The sequence below is a fragment of the Homo sapiens genome, chromosome 1, assembly GCF_000001405.40.
Source record: "Homo sapiens chromosome 1, GRCh38.p14 Primary Assembly".
Classification (NCBI taxonomy): Eukaryota; Metazoa; Chordata; class Mammalia; order Primates; family Hominidae; genus Homo; species Homo sapiens.
In genome coordinates, this window is record NC_000001.11 from 246,015,162 (window position 1) to 246,031,676 (window position 16,515).

The window sequence follows — 16,515 nt, forward strand, 5'->3', positions numbered from 1 at the left end:
CCCAGGGCGTGGTAGGTCATCACTGTGACTCTCCCTCATGCACATTAACAAACGTGTATGCTTTTTTATGCCTTTAGCAGCTGATTTTCAGCAAAACTTCAGAGGAAAAAGGGGACATTTTCCCTTGGCCACTCCACTAGCCACAGTCCTATAAGCTAAAGATAACAGAAGTTCCCCTATCCAACAATCTCAGGAAAGTTTCCTTTAAGTTCAGCATTAATCACTGAATGTTCTACCATCTAACAACTGTATGGCATTTTAAAAAATGTTTAACTGAGGTTAAATATATATAATGTAAAATTTAACATTTTAAGTATTCACTTCAGGGGCTACAAAGTACATTTATATTGTTGCACAACCATCACGACCATCCATCTCCAGAACTTTCTTCATCTTCTAAACCTGAAACTCTGTGCCCATTAACAATAACGCTCCATTCCCGACCCTCTCCCCTCAGATCCTGGTACCCGCCATTCCGTCTCTATGAATTTCAAACATGAGGTGCCTCACAGAGGTGAAATCATGCAATATTTGCCCTTTTGTAACTACCTTATTTCACTTAGCATGTCTTCAAGGTTCACCCATGTTATAGCATGTGTCAAAGTTTCCTTTCTAAGGCTGAATTCCATTTTATATGTGGCACACATTTTGTAGATCCATACATCTGTTGATAGACACGTGGGTTGCTCTCACCAAATGTGTACAAATATCTGTTCGAGTACCTGCTGGATTCCAATTTTGGGGGGTGTATACCTAGAAAGAGAACTGCTGGATCATATAATAATTTTATTTCTAATGTTCTAAGGAAGTAGAGAGCATTTTGAAATGTGAGATCGAGGCCTAAGCAGTCATTCTTGCTAACTGGAATGCTGGAGTGCTGAGCTGGTCATGGCTAGGCTGATCCCGTCAGTGGCGGACAGAAAAGCATTGACATGAGGTCTATAAAAAAATAAGTATCAGCCAGGCACTCTGGCTCACGCCTGTAGTCCCAGCTACTTGGGAGGCGGAGGTGGGAGGATTGCTTGAGCCCAGGAGTTCAAGGCCAGCCTGGGCCACACAGTGAAACCCCATCACTTAAAAAAAAAAAAAAAATAGAATAGTAAAAGGGAAAGGAAACATCATGCTAAAGAAACAGAACTGGCTGGGCGCGGTGGCTCATGCCTGTAATCCCAACATTTTGGGAGGCCGAGGCAGGTGGATCACCTGAGGTCAGGAGTTCAGGACCAGCTTGGTCAACGTGGTGAAACCCAGTCTCTACTAAAAATACAAAAATTAGCCAGGCGTGGTGGCATGTGCCTGTAATCCCAGCTACTCGGGAGGCTGAGGCAGGAGAATTGCTTGAACCCAGGAGGTGGAGGTTGCAGTGAGCCGAGATCATGCCACTGCTCTCCAGCCTGGGTGACAATAGCAAAATTCAGTCTCAAAAAAGAAGAAAAAAAAAGAAAAAGAAACAGAACAACAGCATTACCTGTGAAAAATCTTTCAACACAGCAAACACAAGAAATCTTGCTCTCAGTAGGACAAAGGCAGGCAGAAGCACTGTGGAAGAGGGGCCAGGAGGGGCTGAGATGAGGGCAGAATGAGGGAGCACAGCGAGCTAACTAAGGTCAAAGAAAAAGAAAACAAGGAAGCTGGAATTATGTTACCGAGAATAAAATAGACATTGGAAAGAAATAATGGAAAAACAGTTCAGCCAATGTGTGGCCATTCAGAAGCATCCTGCCTTGTCGGTCTAATGCTAAGAATGATGGGAGAAGGGGCTTCCAATCTTTTTCTATGATTTTTTTTTTGTACCTAGTTAAAAACCCACTGCATTTACAGTTATCAATGAAACTGTTCTGCTTAATACCATAATACAAGTGTCTTTCCAAAGTTTTTTGTTCCCTGAGGACAGAATAACAAATGTCAGAACATGAACATTTTTAGGGCTTCTGATACATACTGTTGCCAAAAGTATCAGCAAGGTATGAGGCCATCAGCACTGCCACCATTAATTTTTATTCTTTTTTTTTATTTTGAAAGAATCTTAAACTTAGAGAACAGTGCAAGAATAGAATAGTATAACTTATTTTTTCTTAGCTATTTGAAAGTTAGTTGCCAACACAATGGCCCATCACCTCCAAATTGTGTATTTCTTATGCACAATGACATTGTCCTACACCTATGAAAACCAGGAAGTTAACATTGATACATTACTACCATCCAATCCTAGGTTCACCAATCATTCCACCATGATCCTTTTCACAGCAAAAGGTTCCAGTTCAGAATCAAGGCTTCTGTTTGCTTGACTTTCATGAGCTTGACACTTTTGAAGACTAGAGGCCAGTTATTTTGTTGTATAATGCGTCTCAGTTTGGGGTTGCTTGATGTTTCTTCACGAATAGATTGAGGTTCTGCATCTTTGGCAGGAGCATCACAGTCATGATGCTGAGTTCTCATATCCTATCACGTGGTACATAACTTCAATCAGTCTTATTACTGATGTTATTAATTTTGATCACTAGGTTAAAGTGTTATCTGTCAGACTTCTCCACTGTGAAGTTTCTCATTTTCTCTTTGAATTCCTAAGAATTTGGGAGTGGGGAGAGTTACTCTGAGAGAATGCATATATGACATTCCTCAGCAAACTTAGGACTTTAAGCACTGAACTCACAAATTCCTATTTTATTCAGTGAGTTATAACCTATTACTACCGTTATTTTGATGCTGAAATTGCCACAGATTTGGCTAGCAGGAGCCTCTTCAAGCTGACTCCTATGTCCTTCTGCTATATCCTCATCTTTGGACATTTCCTTACTTTATGAAACAAGAAGACATCCCAGGCTCATCTTCTACTTCTCTGTCCCAGCCCTGGAATCAGCCATTCTTCCAAAGAGCACCTTTAAGTAGCGAACAGTATTTAGAAGCCAAAGTCCCAGACTAGGTGTGCACTAGGTGTTACAGTTCCCAGGTCCTCTCAGTGGACACAGCCGGGAAATATACGTATGTGGAACACACAGACACAAAGATCTGCATCTATGTTTATTTCTACACAGCTCTTTCTCTCTGTGGAATACCAAGAGTTCACACCAGTCTCTCTAATGAACAGAGTTTTATTCCAGTTCCTTCCCTTTCCAAAACAACCAGCCGTGTCTCTGTTGCCCTCTCCTGCCCGGCTGCCAGGTTTCCACGTGAATGCTCTCACTCCCCTGAGTTCAGACACTCAGCTTTGAGCCAAAGTGGCTTCCCTCTCTCCCAGGACCCCACGCTCCACAGTCAAGGCACTCAACTTGCTCTGCCTCATCTCATGACTTTTGAACTGAGCTTTAGAGAAACAGTAAGAACAAGACATTATCAATTTCATAGATGAGTCTGAATATTTTAAATGTTTGCCATCATATTTCTGTAAAAATTGTGCTTCACGTGCTTTGTCTATTTACCTATACACACCTCATTGATTTTAAACTTTTTTTCTTTGTTTACAGATGGGGTCTTGCTCTGTCATTTAGGCTGGAGTACAGTGGCAAAAATCACAGCTCACTGCAGCTTCAAATTCCGGGGCTCATGCAATCTTCCTGCCACAGCCTCCCAAGTAGCTAGGACCACAGGTGTGCACCACCATGCTGGCTTTTTTTTTTTTTTCCTGTAGAGATGGATTTTGCTATTTTTCCCAGACTGGTCTCAAACTCCTGTGCTCAAGCAATCCTCCTGCCTTGGCCTCCCAAAGCACTGAGATTACAGGCATGAGCCACCATGCCCAGCAGATTTCTTCTTGATTAGTTTACGCTGTATGTGTGTTAAAGGTATCAATGCTTTGGCTTAAATGTTGCAGATAATTTCTTGATATCTTATTTGGTTCTTGACTTATTTTTTTTAATAGAAAATTGTATTTTGTTGATTTAGAAAGCCTGAACCCCTTGCTACTTTTCTATTTCCTCTGAGCCCCATTTTTCTCTGAGCTTTTTGCATTTCTGAACTTCTCCATTACTCTCCACTCCAGTGATTCTCAATCAGGGCTGATTTTGCTCCTCCCCCTGGAAGTCTGGCAATGTTTGGAGACATTTCTGAGTCTGAAGACTGGGTAGGAAAGTATGATTAGCATCTAGTGGCAAAGGCCTAGGATACTGCTACACACCCTACAATGCACAAGACAGCCCCCACGACCAAAGGTTATCCAGCCCAAAATGTCACTAGTGTCAAACGCTGCTCTGGAGTCTCTCAAACGCTTTACAGCTATTCTTTTGATTTCTTCCAAAACAAGACATTAGAAAAGAAAGGCTAAAAGAGGAATATTTTTCATGTAGGCAATGACTTTTTCTAAATCCTAGGTCTGAGTTACAAATACTGGTCATAGAACCTTATAGAATCCAAAAGCATTGTCAAAAAGACCAACCAAAAAAACCCTATCTTTGTTATTTCCACAAAAGATGATCGTAGCTGTGTTCTTGACATAAAGGGACTCACCTAATTCATAAAGTTTTAAATCTGTGTTTGTCATGTGGTCAAGAATTCATATCTAGATTACCTAGGTCCATCTGTGCTATCTTAAATGCCAATGAAAGAAAAATGTAATTATTAATTTAATTTTTTCAAATCCTATAAGGCCAGTACCAAGGTACTAAATGTAAATATATACATACATATATATAAATGTACATATATAAAATACATAGTTTTAAAAATAAAGAACAGTATTACAAATAAAATTGTTGCTTTCTTGGAACTCAGGCCTTTGAAAGAAAATACATATATAGCAGCATGGCATGAAGCAATTTAACAAGATATGTAAGATATATTAGAAAGAAAGGAGATTTTTCTCTTCACAAACACAATATATATCTTCTTGGTTATAGACTTGTTACTTGCCTGCCAGAAGAGTTTACTATCATCTTCACAAGTATTCAATTCTCAGAACCAAGGGATTTCACAGCCTCCTCTACCCAATCAAAGCAGTGTCTTATGGGGTCCGTCTGAACGTAATCCTGTCCTACTGACGGATTTGACATCTATTTCTGCCACCATTGCACAAGAACACAGCAGACTGCTGACTGCAATAAGACTTATCTAGAGGCTAACAGGCAAGCAAAATCTATACTGATTTCCTTTTCTTCAGCACAATACCTTTTAAAAAGTACCATAAATAAAACAGTGTTCTCAAGACCTGTGATTTTCAACGAGAAATTACTAAACACATTGGGGAGGCTTCTTGTGGTCTTGATTTCCTAATGAGCTATGGGAAATTACATAATGAAGAGAATTCTTCTTGGCTTCTTAGGTTTCAAAAGCCTACAAAGTCTGTAAATTCTGTTTCCTTTCCAACAAACACTAAACCTAACTTGGTATTCGAAACTTTAACCTCTCCATTTCAAATGCTTTAGTTTTGGTCCTGACTCATTACAAGAAAGGAGGCTGTTAGAATAGCAAAATAATAATTATGATGAAATCATAACAATAATAACAGTAGCTAACACTTATTGAACTGAGCGCTATATGTCAGATAGTATTCTAAATGCTCTATCGGTGTAAACTCACATCATTCTATGATAAGCTACAAAGTAGATACTCATCATAATAATCAGTCGCATTTTATAGATAAGAAAACTGAAGCCCAGGAGTGTGAATAGGTTTTTCTAGGTTAGAAGCAGAATTGAAGTCAGAAAGCCTGACTGTAAACTCATGGTCTTAACCACTTTTCTGGCTCTCTGATTCCCACCCTCTCAACTTTTAACGTGACTGAATCTGAAACTCATCATTCATTATAGCATCAAACCTACATCTCCCTCTTCTTAAGGCCTACCTGCATGAGCATGTACCTGTTCATACAGCTCCCAGAACAAACGTGTATAGGTTTGTCTAAGTAAACAGCAAATTTGATTGTAAACATAAAAACTAAAGAGAATATCATTGCTTTGTAAAGGTAACGGTGAATGATTCTCAACGCCAATACCAGAAACATGTGACAATCACAAGGCAGTCACCAATTTAACAGAGAGAAGGAAAGTATGAAGTGTATCTCTCAGTCTCTGATAGAAGTTCCTTTCTTCACCTCGGGTGAAGGTCAGGAGTTCCACTTCTACTGCCCTTGCTGTCACCAAACAGCAAAGTTCAAGGAAGACAGAGGAGCTTTGAAGCCTTCTGACATGGGTACAGAATTCTACTATGTCTTTTTGTTTGAGTACAAAATATAGCTCTAGCCTGAAGAAAGACTTAGAGTTAATCTTCCTGTGGTACAGATGGTATATTCTGATTCCTGATCACCCACACTGCGCCACAGAGCCCCTGACACAGAATTGTCTGTAGTTAAGTAATGGGAGGTGAGGAAGTGGCCTCAGAGAAGGACTAACGTCCACAGACTTGAGTTCGTACAACCACAAAAATACCTGCCTGGCCAACTAGCCACCCAGTCTAGCATAAAGATTGGTCATGCAGATTTGTGGAAAGAAAGAGGTCCAGGAAATGCTTCTTGGAAGGCAGAACATTTACTTATTCATCATTATATTATTGATCAGCCTCCCTACACCCTGATTAATTATCACTCCATTGATGAAAAGCTATCTCAATTCAATTCTATTGCTTTCTCAGCAATACAGGCAAAAATTTTACATAGCAAGTTTTTTGTTTGTATATTTTTATTCATTTTTCAGCAAATCAAAACCCATTCAAATGGAAAATGGAAAGATGGAAAAATGAAACTGTGCATTTCAATGTGATATTGAGCATAGGATATCAGCAGCTCACTTCGTGGGTTCTGTGTTGCTTCGACATTCTGTCTGTGACCTCTTGGAAGGTTTGACTGGTAGGGGCACAGCACTTCAAACTGTGACATAATCAGCGTTTCCTCTCCTAGGTTAAGAGGGACACTGATCGCTGGAAACATGAACATCCACAGCAACTAAGAGTGAGCACTGCTGAACACAGCCACAGACTGTGGTCCTTCGTTAAACAAATGAAAGTCTAAATCAAATGACGAGAGAACGCAAATTCATGATCATTATGAAGCAAATGCATTGCTGTACTTAAGACATCAGTCCCTCTACAGAGAGGCCATCACCTCTTTGCACAAGTCAATATGGGCAAAAATTGTTTTCAAAAACCAGGTTGGTTCTCAAACATTAAAATGCACATATCAGAGAAAAATGCTCTCTCAAGCATCTCTATACGAAGATGTTCATTACAGAAATGTTTGTTATGGTGGAAAATGAGGGCCAATGTCTATCAATAGGAGATTGAGTATGAGAACTACAGTGCACAGCGAGGGGGTAAGAACGTGGGTTCTGGAGCCACGCAGCCTTGCTTTAAATCCTGACTTTGACACACACTAACAGTGCGACCTGAGGCAACTTACATAACCTCTGTAAATCTTGGTTTCCTCGTCTGTATATAAAGAGTTTAGTAAAACACTTGACATATACGAGCTCAATAAATGTTAGCAATTATTATTATGCTACATTATGTATATGGACATTTTAAAAAGATAGGGCTGTATCTATCAGCGTAGAAAGATGGCCTGTGTCATTGTTAAGAAAATGTTTCCAGCAAATTGTAGATGGGTATAACTAATATAACTCTGCATGTGCAAATATTGTGTGGATACACATGGAAAGTATTCTGGGACACATACCAAATTGTTACAATAAATCCCTTTCAAAAATTAGGAGTGGCTGGGAGGAGAAGGCTTTCACTTCGCACTTTCCATGGTGCCAGGGTAATACCACCTCACAACAGTAAATAGCAAAAATAGCAACCTTAACTCTAGATTTTCTTATCTAAATTTTAATTCTGTGAAGAATTTTCCATTTCCCTTTTTCAAATCAGGATATAGGATGCAATTTAGAAAGAGTGAGATCACTTGTTAGACTGTACGATTTTTAAGCATCAATAAAGTATACCACCGAACTTCTCTACCAATCCATTCTCTAAACTTCCCAATCAGGTGTGCCTCTCCATTTAGGACACAGGCAGGTTTTTGTTCCAACTCACAGTGTAACTGCCCTGGTTTCAGTATCCACGGTGAATGAGAACAGCTAAGAGACACAAGTGCTGGGAATTAAAGAAGCATCTACTTAAAAACCAAGCTCTTGCTAATCAGTGAGAAGAGTCTCAAGAGATGATATGCTGAAGGCACCGAGGGAGAGCTGTGTTGGAATGTCTGTCTGTGCATAACTGTGGTCCTTCAAAACGAGCAATTAGAAAACAGAGATGAGATAATATAGCTAGCTCTCGCAGATTAATCAAATGTGTCTTGTTACTAGATTAGAGAATTCAAAGATATGACAGAGAATATTAAATGTCTGAAAATGACCAAGTGTAGCTGCTTGAATCATTTCCCCCACAGTTTTCAGTAGAAAAGAGTTGTTCTTTCCCATTTTCCAAAATCATTACTATTTTAGCATTGTCAAGGAAAAAAAAAGGACTTATGTTTTGTACTTTTCACAGTGTAGAGGATGATGCTCAGAATAAATTGTTTCACTTTGGGAGTTATATTTACTAGAAGAATGAAGCTCTTGCTTTCCACTTTAAGACAAAGAGAGGGACATACAACAAAAAAGACGGCACGTTCAGGGGCTACAGGGGCGTGAGTTCAAATCCTGGATTTCCAATTTCCAGCTATGTATCTTTGGTGAGTCATTTAACCTCAGAACCCACTTCACAGGACTATTACAAAACTGTGTGTGTGTGTGTGTGTGTGTGTGTGTGTGTGTGTTACTGAAAAATATCACCCAGTACTTAGTACACACCTAGTAGTTGTTAGCTACTATTTCAGAGAGACTTCTGTGGATGGCATATACTGATGATTTGGTTAAAAAAATAAAGAATAAAGACAGTTAATTCTTTCAAAATTATTATATGACTATCACTGTTAGGTGGGAGGGGATAAAATGAGGAACTACAGAGATCACTGAATTTACAGCAAATGTCCTGGCCAGGTAACCTAGAGGTCAAATTGAGATGAAAATCAGGTTGCTTCTATCATAGTCCAATATTTTTTCATACTCCATCAGATTCTGCTTTCTGCAATATAATATGGAAGCGAGAAAACAAGAAATATTCCAGGATACAGTCACAGATGTACTATATAGCTTACATTTTATCTTTTTCCCAAAAAAGAGGAACCTCATTCTGCCTGAACAACAAAAGGTTAAAGATGTATTGGTGGACAGCATCTAGGAAGAGAGATACAGGAAGTGGACAGCATCTAGGAAGGAGATACAGGAAGTGGACAGCATCTAGGAAGGGAGATACAGGAAGTGGACAGCATCTAGGAAGGAGATACAGGAAGTGGACAGCATCTAGGAAGAGAGATACAGCAAGTGGACAGCATCTAGGAAGGGAGATACAGCAAGTGGACAGCATCTAGGAAGACAGATACAGCAAGTGGACAGCATCTAGGAAGGGAGATCCAGGAAGTGGACAGCATCTAGGAAGGAGATACAGGAAGTGGGCAGCATCTAGGAAGAGAGATACAGCAAGTGGACAGCATCTAGGAAGGGAGATACAGCAAGTGGACAGCATCTAGGAAGGCAGATACAGCAAGTGGACAGCATCTAGGAAGGGAGATACAGCAAGTGGACAGCATCTAGGAAGGGAGATACAGGAAGTGGACAGCATCTAGGAAGGAGATACAGGAAGTGGACAGCATCTAGGAAGACAGATACAGCAAGTGGACAGCATCTAGGAAGGGAGATACAGCAAGTGGACAGCATCTAGGAAGGGAGATACAGCAAGTGGACAGCATCTAGGAAGGGAGATACAGGAAGTGGACAGCATCTAGGAAGGAGATACAGGAAGTGGACAGCATCTAGGAAGAGAGATACAGCAAGTGGACAGCATCTAGGAAGGGAGATACAGCAAGTGGACAGCATCTAGGAAGACAGATACAGCAAGTGGACAGCATCTAGGAAGAGAGATACAGCAAGTGGACAGCATCTAGGAAGGGAGATACAGGAAGTGGACAGCATCTAGGAAGGAGATACAGGAAGTGGACAGCATCTAGGAAGGGAGATACAGCAAGTGGACAGCATCTAGGAAGGAGATACAGGAAGTAGACAGCATCTAGGAAGACAGATACAGCAAGTGAACAGCATCTAGGAAGGGAGATACAGCAAGTGGACAGCATCTAGGAAGGGAGATACAGCAAGTGGACAGCATCTAGGAAGGGAGATACAGCAAGTGGACAGCATCTAGGAAGGAAGATACAGCAAATCTAATTCAGAAGAAAAGAAACAGATTGCCCTGAATATGACAGTGGCCATCAGAAAGGGAGCTGTACCCTCCACCCAAATGTGTCCCAAACACAAAGACGTCTCACATCCCTCTAAAAACCGAAAAGAGGTACCAGTACTGTGACGGTCATTTTCTGGAATTCATTAATTGAATCATGAAGAGAATTATGTAAGGTCAAAACACTCATACCTCAGAAAAAGCTGCGTCCTATACACTAGGCTAGCCCACACCAACCACAAAGAAAGCACAGACAGAAATTTCCAGGACTTGGTGTCTTTGCAAAGACAGAGACTCCAGCCATAAGCTTAGCAATGTACCCTCTTGATGAAGGAAGTGAGCATGATCTCTCCCTTTGTCATCTGAGTGATGTATGATTAAGCTCAATAGAGGTATAGATTCAGTGATGTTACTGAGAGGAAGCAACAGAATTTTCAGTGACCTAAGGTGCTATATGTGAGAGTCCCAAGTGTTCTAAAGAAAAACCTGGCCCAGCACAGTGGCTCATGCCTGTAATCCCAGCAATTTGGGAGGCCGAGGCAGGTGGATTACCTGAGGCCAGGAGTTTAAGACCAGCCTGGCCAATATGGTAAAACACTGTCTCTACTAAAAATACAAAAATTAGACACACGTGCTGGTGGGAAGTCCCAGCTACTTGGGAGGCTGAGGCAAGAGAATCGCTTGAACCCAGGAGGTAGGTTGCAGTGAAGGCAGAGATTGCAGTGAGCCAAGATCGTGCCACTGCACTCCAGCCCATGTGACAGAGTGAGTGAGACTTCATCCCCCACCCGCCAAAAAAAAGAAAAGAAAATGAAAACCCATACCAGAAAAAAAGTTTCTCTTTCTTCAAAAACAGTCCTTCTTTTGACCTTCCCTAGGTCTTGCAGAAGAGAGCATAAAGAAGTCTTAGATCAAATACTCATTTATATCAGTGACTTCTAAGTAATTACCTGCATCTATAGGATATACAGAGTTTAATCACATACCCTTGAAAGACGCACTCCACTAAACAAAATTATAAGTACACCTCATTGCGTGTACTGAGCTTCACTCTGCTGTGCTTCATGGATCTTGTGTTTACTAGATAGAAGGTTTGTGAATCCTTTGTTGAACAAGTCTATTAGCACCATTTGTCCAATAGCATGTGTGCACTTCATGTGTCTGTTGTCACATTTTGGTAATTCTCACAATAATTCAAACTTTTTCACTGTTCTATCTGTGATGCTTATCAGTGTTCTTTGACATTACTACTGTAATTGTTTTGGGGCACCATGAACAGTGCCCATATGAGACAGTTAACTTAATCCATGAATGTGTGCATTCTGACAGCTTCACCAACTTCATTCCTGTCTCTCTCCCTCTCCTCAGGCCTCCATATCCCTGAGACACAATAATACTGAAATTAGCCCAGTTAGTAACCTTACAATGGCCTCTAAGTGTTCACGTGAAAGGAGGAGTTGCACATCTCTCGCTGTGATTCAAGAGCTAGAAATGATGAAGCTCAGTGAGGAAGACATGTCGAGAACTAAGATAAACTGAAAGACACATGTGTTGCACAAAACAGTTAGCCAACTTGTAAATGCAAAAGAAACACTCTTGAGGGAAATTAAAAGTGCTACTCCAGTGAACACACAAATAATCAGAAAGTGAGACAGCCTTATTGCTGATAGGGAGAAAGTCTGAGTGATCTGGACAGAAGATCAAATAAGCCACAATATTCCCTTAAGCCAAAGCCTAATCCAGAGGAAAGCCCTAACTTGCTTAAATTCTATAAAGGCTGAGAGAGGTGAGAAACGACAGAAGAAACGGTGGAAAGTAGCAGAGGTTGGTTCATGAGGTTTAAGGAAAGAAGCCATCTCCGTAACTTAAAACTGCAAGGTGACGTTGCAGCAAGTTATCAAGAAGATCTAGCTGAGATGACTGATGAGGGTGGCAACAAGGAAAAGCAGACTTTCAGTGTAGATGAAACCGCCTTATATTGGGATGAGATACCATCTAAGACTTCCATAACTAGAGGAGAGGTCAATGCTTTGCTTCAAAACTTCAAAAGACAGAATGACTCTCTTGTTAGGGTCTAATGCCAGCTGGTGACTTTAAGTTGAAGCAAATGTTCATTTACCATTTAAAAAATCCTACAGCCCTTAAGAACTGTGGTAAATCTGTACTGCCCATGTTCTACCAATGTAATAACAAAGCCTGGGTGACAGCATATCTGTTTTTAAGCATAGTTTACTGAATATCTGAAGTCCATTCTTGTGACCTACTGCTCAGGAATAAGATTGCTTTGAAAACATTACTGTTGATTGACAACGCACCTAGTCATCCAAGAGCTCCGATGGAGATGTACAAGAAGACGAATGCTGTTTTCTTGCCTACTAACACAAAATCTAGTCTTCAGCCCATGGATCAAGGAGTAATTCAACTTTCAAGTCTTATTATTTAAGAAATACATTTTGTAAGGCTATAGCTGCCATCAATATTGATTCTTCTGATGGATCTGGGGACAGTAAATTGAAAACCTTCTGGAAAGGATTCACTATTCCAGACACCATTAGGAACACTCATACTTCATAGAAGGAGATCAAAATATCAACATTAACAAGAGTTTGGAAGGTTGATTCCAATCCTCATGGATGACTTTGAGGGGGTCAAATCTTCAGTGAAGAAAGTAATCAGAAATGAAAAACAAGGCATTACAACTGATACCACAGAAATACAAAGGATCATTAGAGACTGTTACGAACAACAATCTTGACAATGCTGACAAACTGAAAAACCTAAAGGAAATAAATCCTAGACATACACAACCTACCAAAATTGAATTAGGAAGAAGGAGAAAACCTGAAAAAATCAATAATGAGTAGTGGAAGTCCTAGTCAGAGCAACCAGGCAAGAGAAAGAAACAAAGGGCATCCAAATTGGAAAAAAGGAAGTCAAATTGTCCCTCTTTGTGAATGACATAATCCTATATACAGAAAAATCTAAAGACTCCACCAAAAAACTCTTTGAACTGATAAATGAATTCAGTAAAGTTGCAAGATACAAAATCAATATACAAAACTATACATCAATAACGAAGTAGTGAAAAAAGAAATTAGAAAAGCAATTCCACTTACAACAGCTACAAAAACATAAATAAAGTATCTAACAATAAATTTATTGAAGGAGGAGAGAGAACTCTAGAAGGACAACTATGAAACACTGATGGTAGAAACTGAAGAGAATACAAACAAATGGAGATGTCCCATGCTTATAAATTGGAAGAATTAATATTGTTAAGATGACCATGCTACCCAAAGCAATCTACAGATGTAATGTAATACCTGTCAAAATACCAAACCACATGTTTCACAGAAATATTTTTTTAAATCCTAAAATTTGTATGGAAACACAAAAGACCATGAATAGCCAAAGCAATAATGAGCAAAAATAACAAAACAGGAAGTATCACACTACCTGACTTCAAAATATGCTACAAAGCTATAGGAACCAAAACCATATGGTACTGGTATAAAAACAAACACACAAACCATTAGCATAGAATAGAGAACCTAGAGATAAATTCACATATTTACAGCCAACCAATTGTAAAATGTGTCAAGAAAACAGACTGAGGAAAAGACACCCTGTTCAATAAATGGTGTTGGGAAGATTCCATATCCAAAGCAGAAGAGTGAAAGGAGACCATTATCACTGTATACAAAAGTAAACTCAAAATGAATTAAAGATTTGAACATAGGACCCAAAACTATAAAACTACTAGAAGAAAACACTTCAGGACATTGGTCTAGGCAAATATTTTATGGCTAAGACCTCAAAAGTACAGCCAACAAAAATAGACAAATGGCACTATATTAAACTAAAAGGTTTCTGTACAGCAAAGAAAACAATCAAGAGACTGAAGAGACAATCTGTAGCAATAAATATTTGCAAATTACATGTTCAGCAAGGAATTAATATCCAAAATATAATCCAGTTAAAAAGTGGGCAAATGATATGAATAGAAATGTCTCAAAAGAAAATATGCAGGCCAGGCACGGTGGCTCATGCCTGTAATCCCAGCACCTTGGGAGACAGAGGCGGGCAGATCACCTGAGGTCAGGAGTTCAGACCAGCCTGGCCAAAATGGTGAAACCCCATCTCTACTAAAAATACAAAAAATTAGCCAGGCGTGGTGACACACGCCTGTAATCCCAGCTACCCAGGAGGCTGAAGCAGGAGAATTGCTTGAGCCCGGGAGACAGAGGTTGCAGTGAGCCAAGATCCTACCACTGCACTCCAGCCTGGCTGACAGAGTGAGACTCTGTCTCAGAAAAAAAAAAAAAAAAAGAAAGAAAAAGAAAAAGAAAATATGCAAATGGCCAGCAAATATATGAAAAAATGTTCAACATCACTAATCACCAGGGAAATACGAATCAAAACCACAATGAAATATCATCTTACCACAGTTAGGATGGCTGTTATCAAAAAAAGAAAAGATAACATGCTGGTGAAAATGCAGAGAAAAGGGAACTCACACACTGTTGGTGGGAATGCAAATAGGTACAGCCACTGTAGAAAAGAGCACAGCATTTCCACAAAAAAACTAAAAGAGAACTACCATAGGATCCAGCAATCCCAGCACTGGGTTTCCTTTCTTTCTTTCTTTTTTTTTTTTTTTTTTACAAAAGAAAGGAAATCAAAGGGATACGCACACCCCCAATGCGTATTGCAGCACTATTCACAATAGCTAAGATACTGAATCAACCTAAATATCCATCAGTGGATATTTAACTCCATAAAAGACATACAAGTAACACCACTCTACTTTCACGCATGAAGCATTAATGGATAAAGAAAACATAGATACAGACATGATGGAGTACTATTCAGCCATAGAAAAGAATGGAATCCTGTCATTTGCAGCAACAGGAATGAGCCCGAAGGACATTATGTTAAGTGAAATATGTCAAGCACAGAAAAACAGATATCACATATTCTGGCTCTTATGTGGGAGCAAAAAAGATGTTGTTTTGTGCTCATCAAAGTAGAACTTGTGGGTATTGGAGGCTGGGAAATGGAAGAATGGGAGGGAGGTTGTTTGATGGATACAAAATTACAGTTACATAGAGAGGATGGAGTTTGCGTGTTCTGCAGCATTGTACGCTGAATATGCTCAACTGTATTATATTTTTCAAAAAGTTAGAGGAGAGTATTTTTTAATGTTCACAACACAAATAAATATTTGAGGTGATGGTATAGTGATCACTCTGATTTGATCATTACATATTATATACACATATGAAAATATCACTCTGTATCCCATAAATGTGTACAATTATTATGTGTCAACTAAAAAGGAAAAAAGGAGTTGCACCATCGCCACACCTGTCACATAGATCATAAATACAAACCCGCACACAAATTACGTTATTTACTATGTATCATTGATGTCAGAGCCCTAAAAAGCCTTATTAAGCCTCTTGACTACAGTTTTCAAACTTTTTTTTGCAGTGGAACGCTTACATCAAACAATGTTACGTAAATCCCAAAATAGAATCCCCCAGTAACAGTGATCTCATGAAATCAAGGCAAGGCATGTGGACGTGTTTAGTGGGGGTGCACAAGCATGCCTGTGCTTGTAGGGAGAGGACAGGGCTGCTTCCCCAAAACACTGTTTGAAAAAATCACTGATGTATTACAAGCTTCTTATTCCCAGACAAACTTAGTATGGAATCACCTGCCAGGTAAGGAACTTGCTTATACATAAAGTGAGGGCTATAGACTAGACCTTTTATCTGTATGTTTCTAGCAATGTTTTATGACACTATTATACAGGGTTTTCATAGGAAATCACATAAAGAAAGGACCATTGATACGATAATCATTATAATAAATCATACTAAATGATCTTGGTAGCAAACTAGTTGTCAAGCAAAGAAGGATTATGGGTTTATTCAGACCAACTTCTGGAATCTTATTTAGGTATTAAATATATATTAAATATCAAGGTCAGAAACCAAATGAAGTATTAACTGGCAAAATCCATTATTACAATAGAAATAACATTGATCCCTGGAAATAAAAATTATTTCAGATTAAAAAGAAGTTATGGGGCCAGGCGCAGTGGCTCACGGCTATAATCCCAGCACTCTGGGAGGCCGAGGCAGGCAGATCACGAAGTCAGGAGATCAAAACCATCCTGGCTAACGTGGTGAAACCCCATCTCTACTAAAAATATAAAAAATTAGCCAGGCGTGGTGGCGGGCGCCTGTAGTCCCAGCTACTCGGGAGGCTGAGGCAGGAGAATCGCTTGAACCAGGGAGGCGGAGGATG

General features: G+C 39.6%; 1 protein-coding gene across 15 annotated transcripts in view, besides 1 other annotated feature; it reads right to left on the minus strand.

The window, feature by feature from the left end:
- The window catches only part of SMYD3 (SET and MYND domain containing 3), a 757,933-nt gene that overhangs the window by 265,815 nt on the left and 475,603 nt on the right, over positions 1-16,515 (minus strand). The window contains exon 1 of one of the 15 annotated variants that reach the window (XM_011544259.4): positions 9,065-9,220. The exons of the other annotated variants lie outside the window; for them this stretch is intronic. The gene's annotated coding sequence lies outside the window, so the exon portion shown is untranslated. Of the gene's footprint in view, positions 1-9,064; positions 9,221-16,515 lie in introns of those variants that run through there. 15 annotated transcript variants of the gene reach the window in all.
- Positions 5,298-5,487: an enhancer, noted in NCBI's record as "active region_2852". NCBI's record gives its function as "activates an Ori minimal core promoter by ATAC-STARR-seq in GM12878 lymphoblastoid cells {active_cell/tissue: GM12878}" and the evidence as "EXISTENCE:reporter gene assay evidence [ECO:0000049][PMID:35858748]".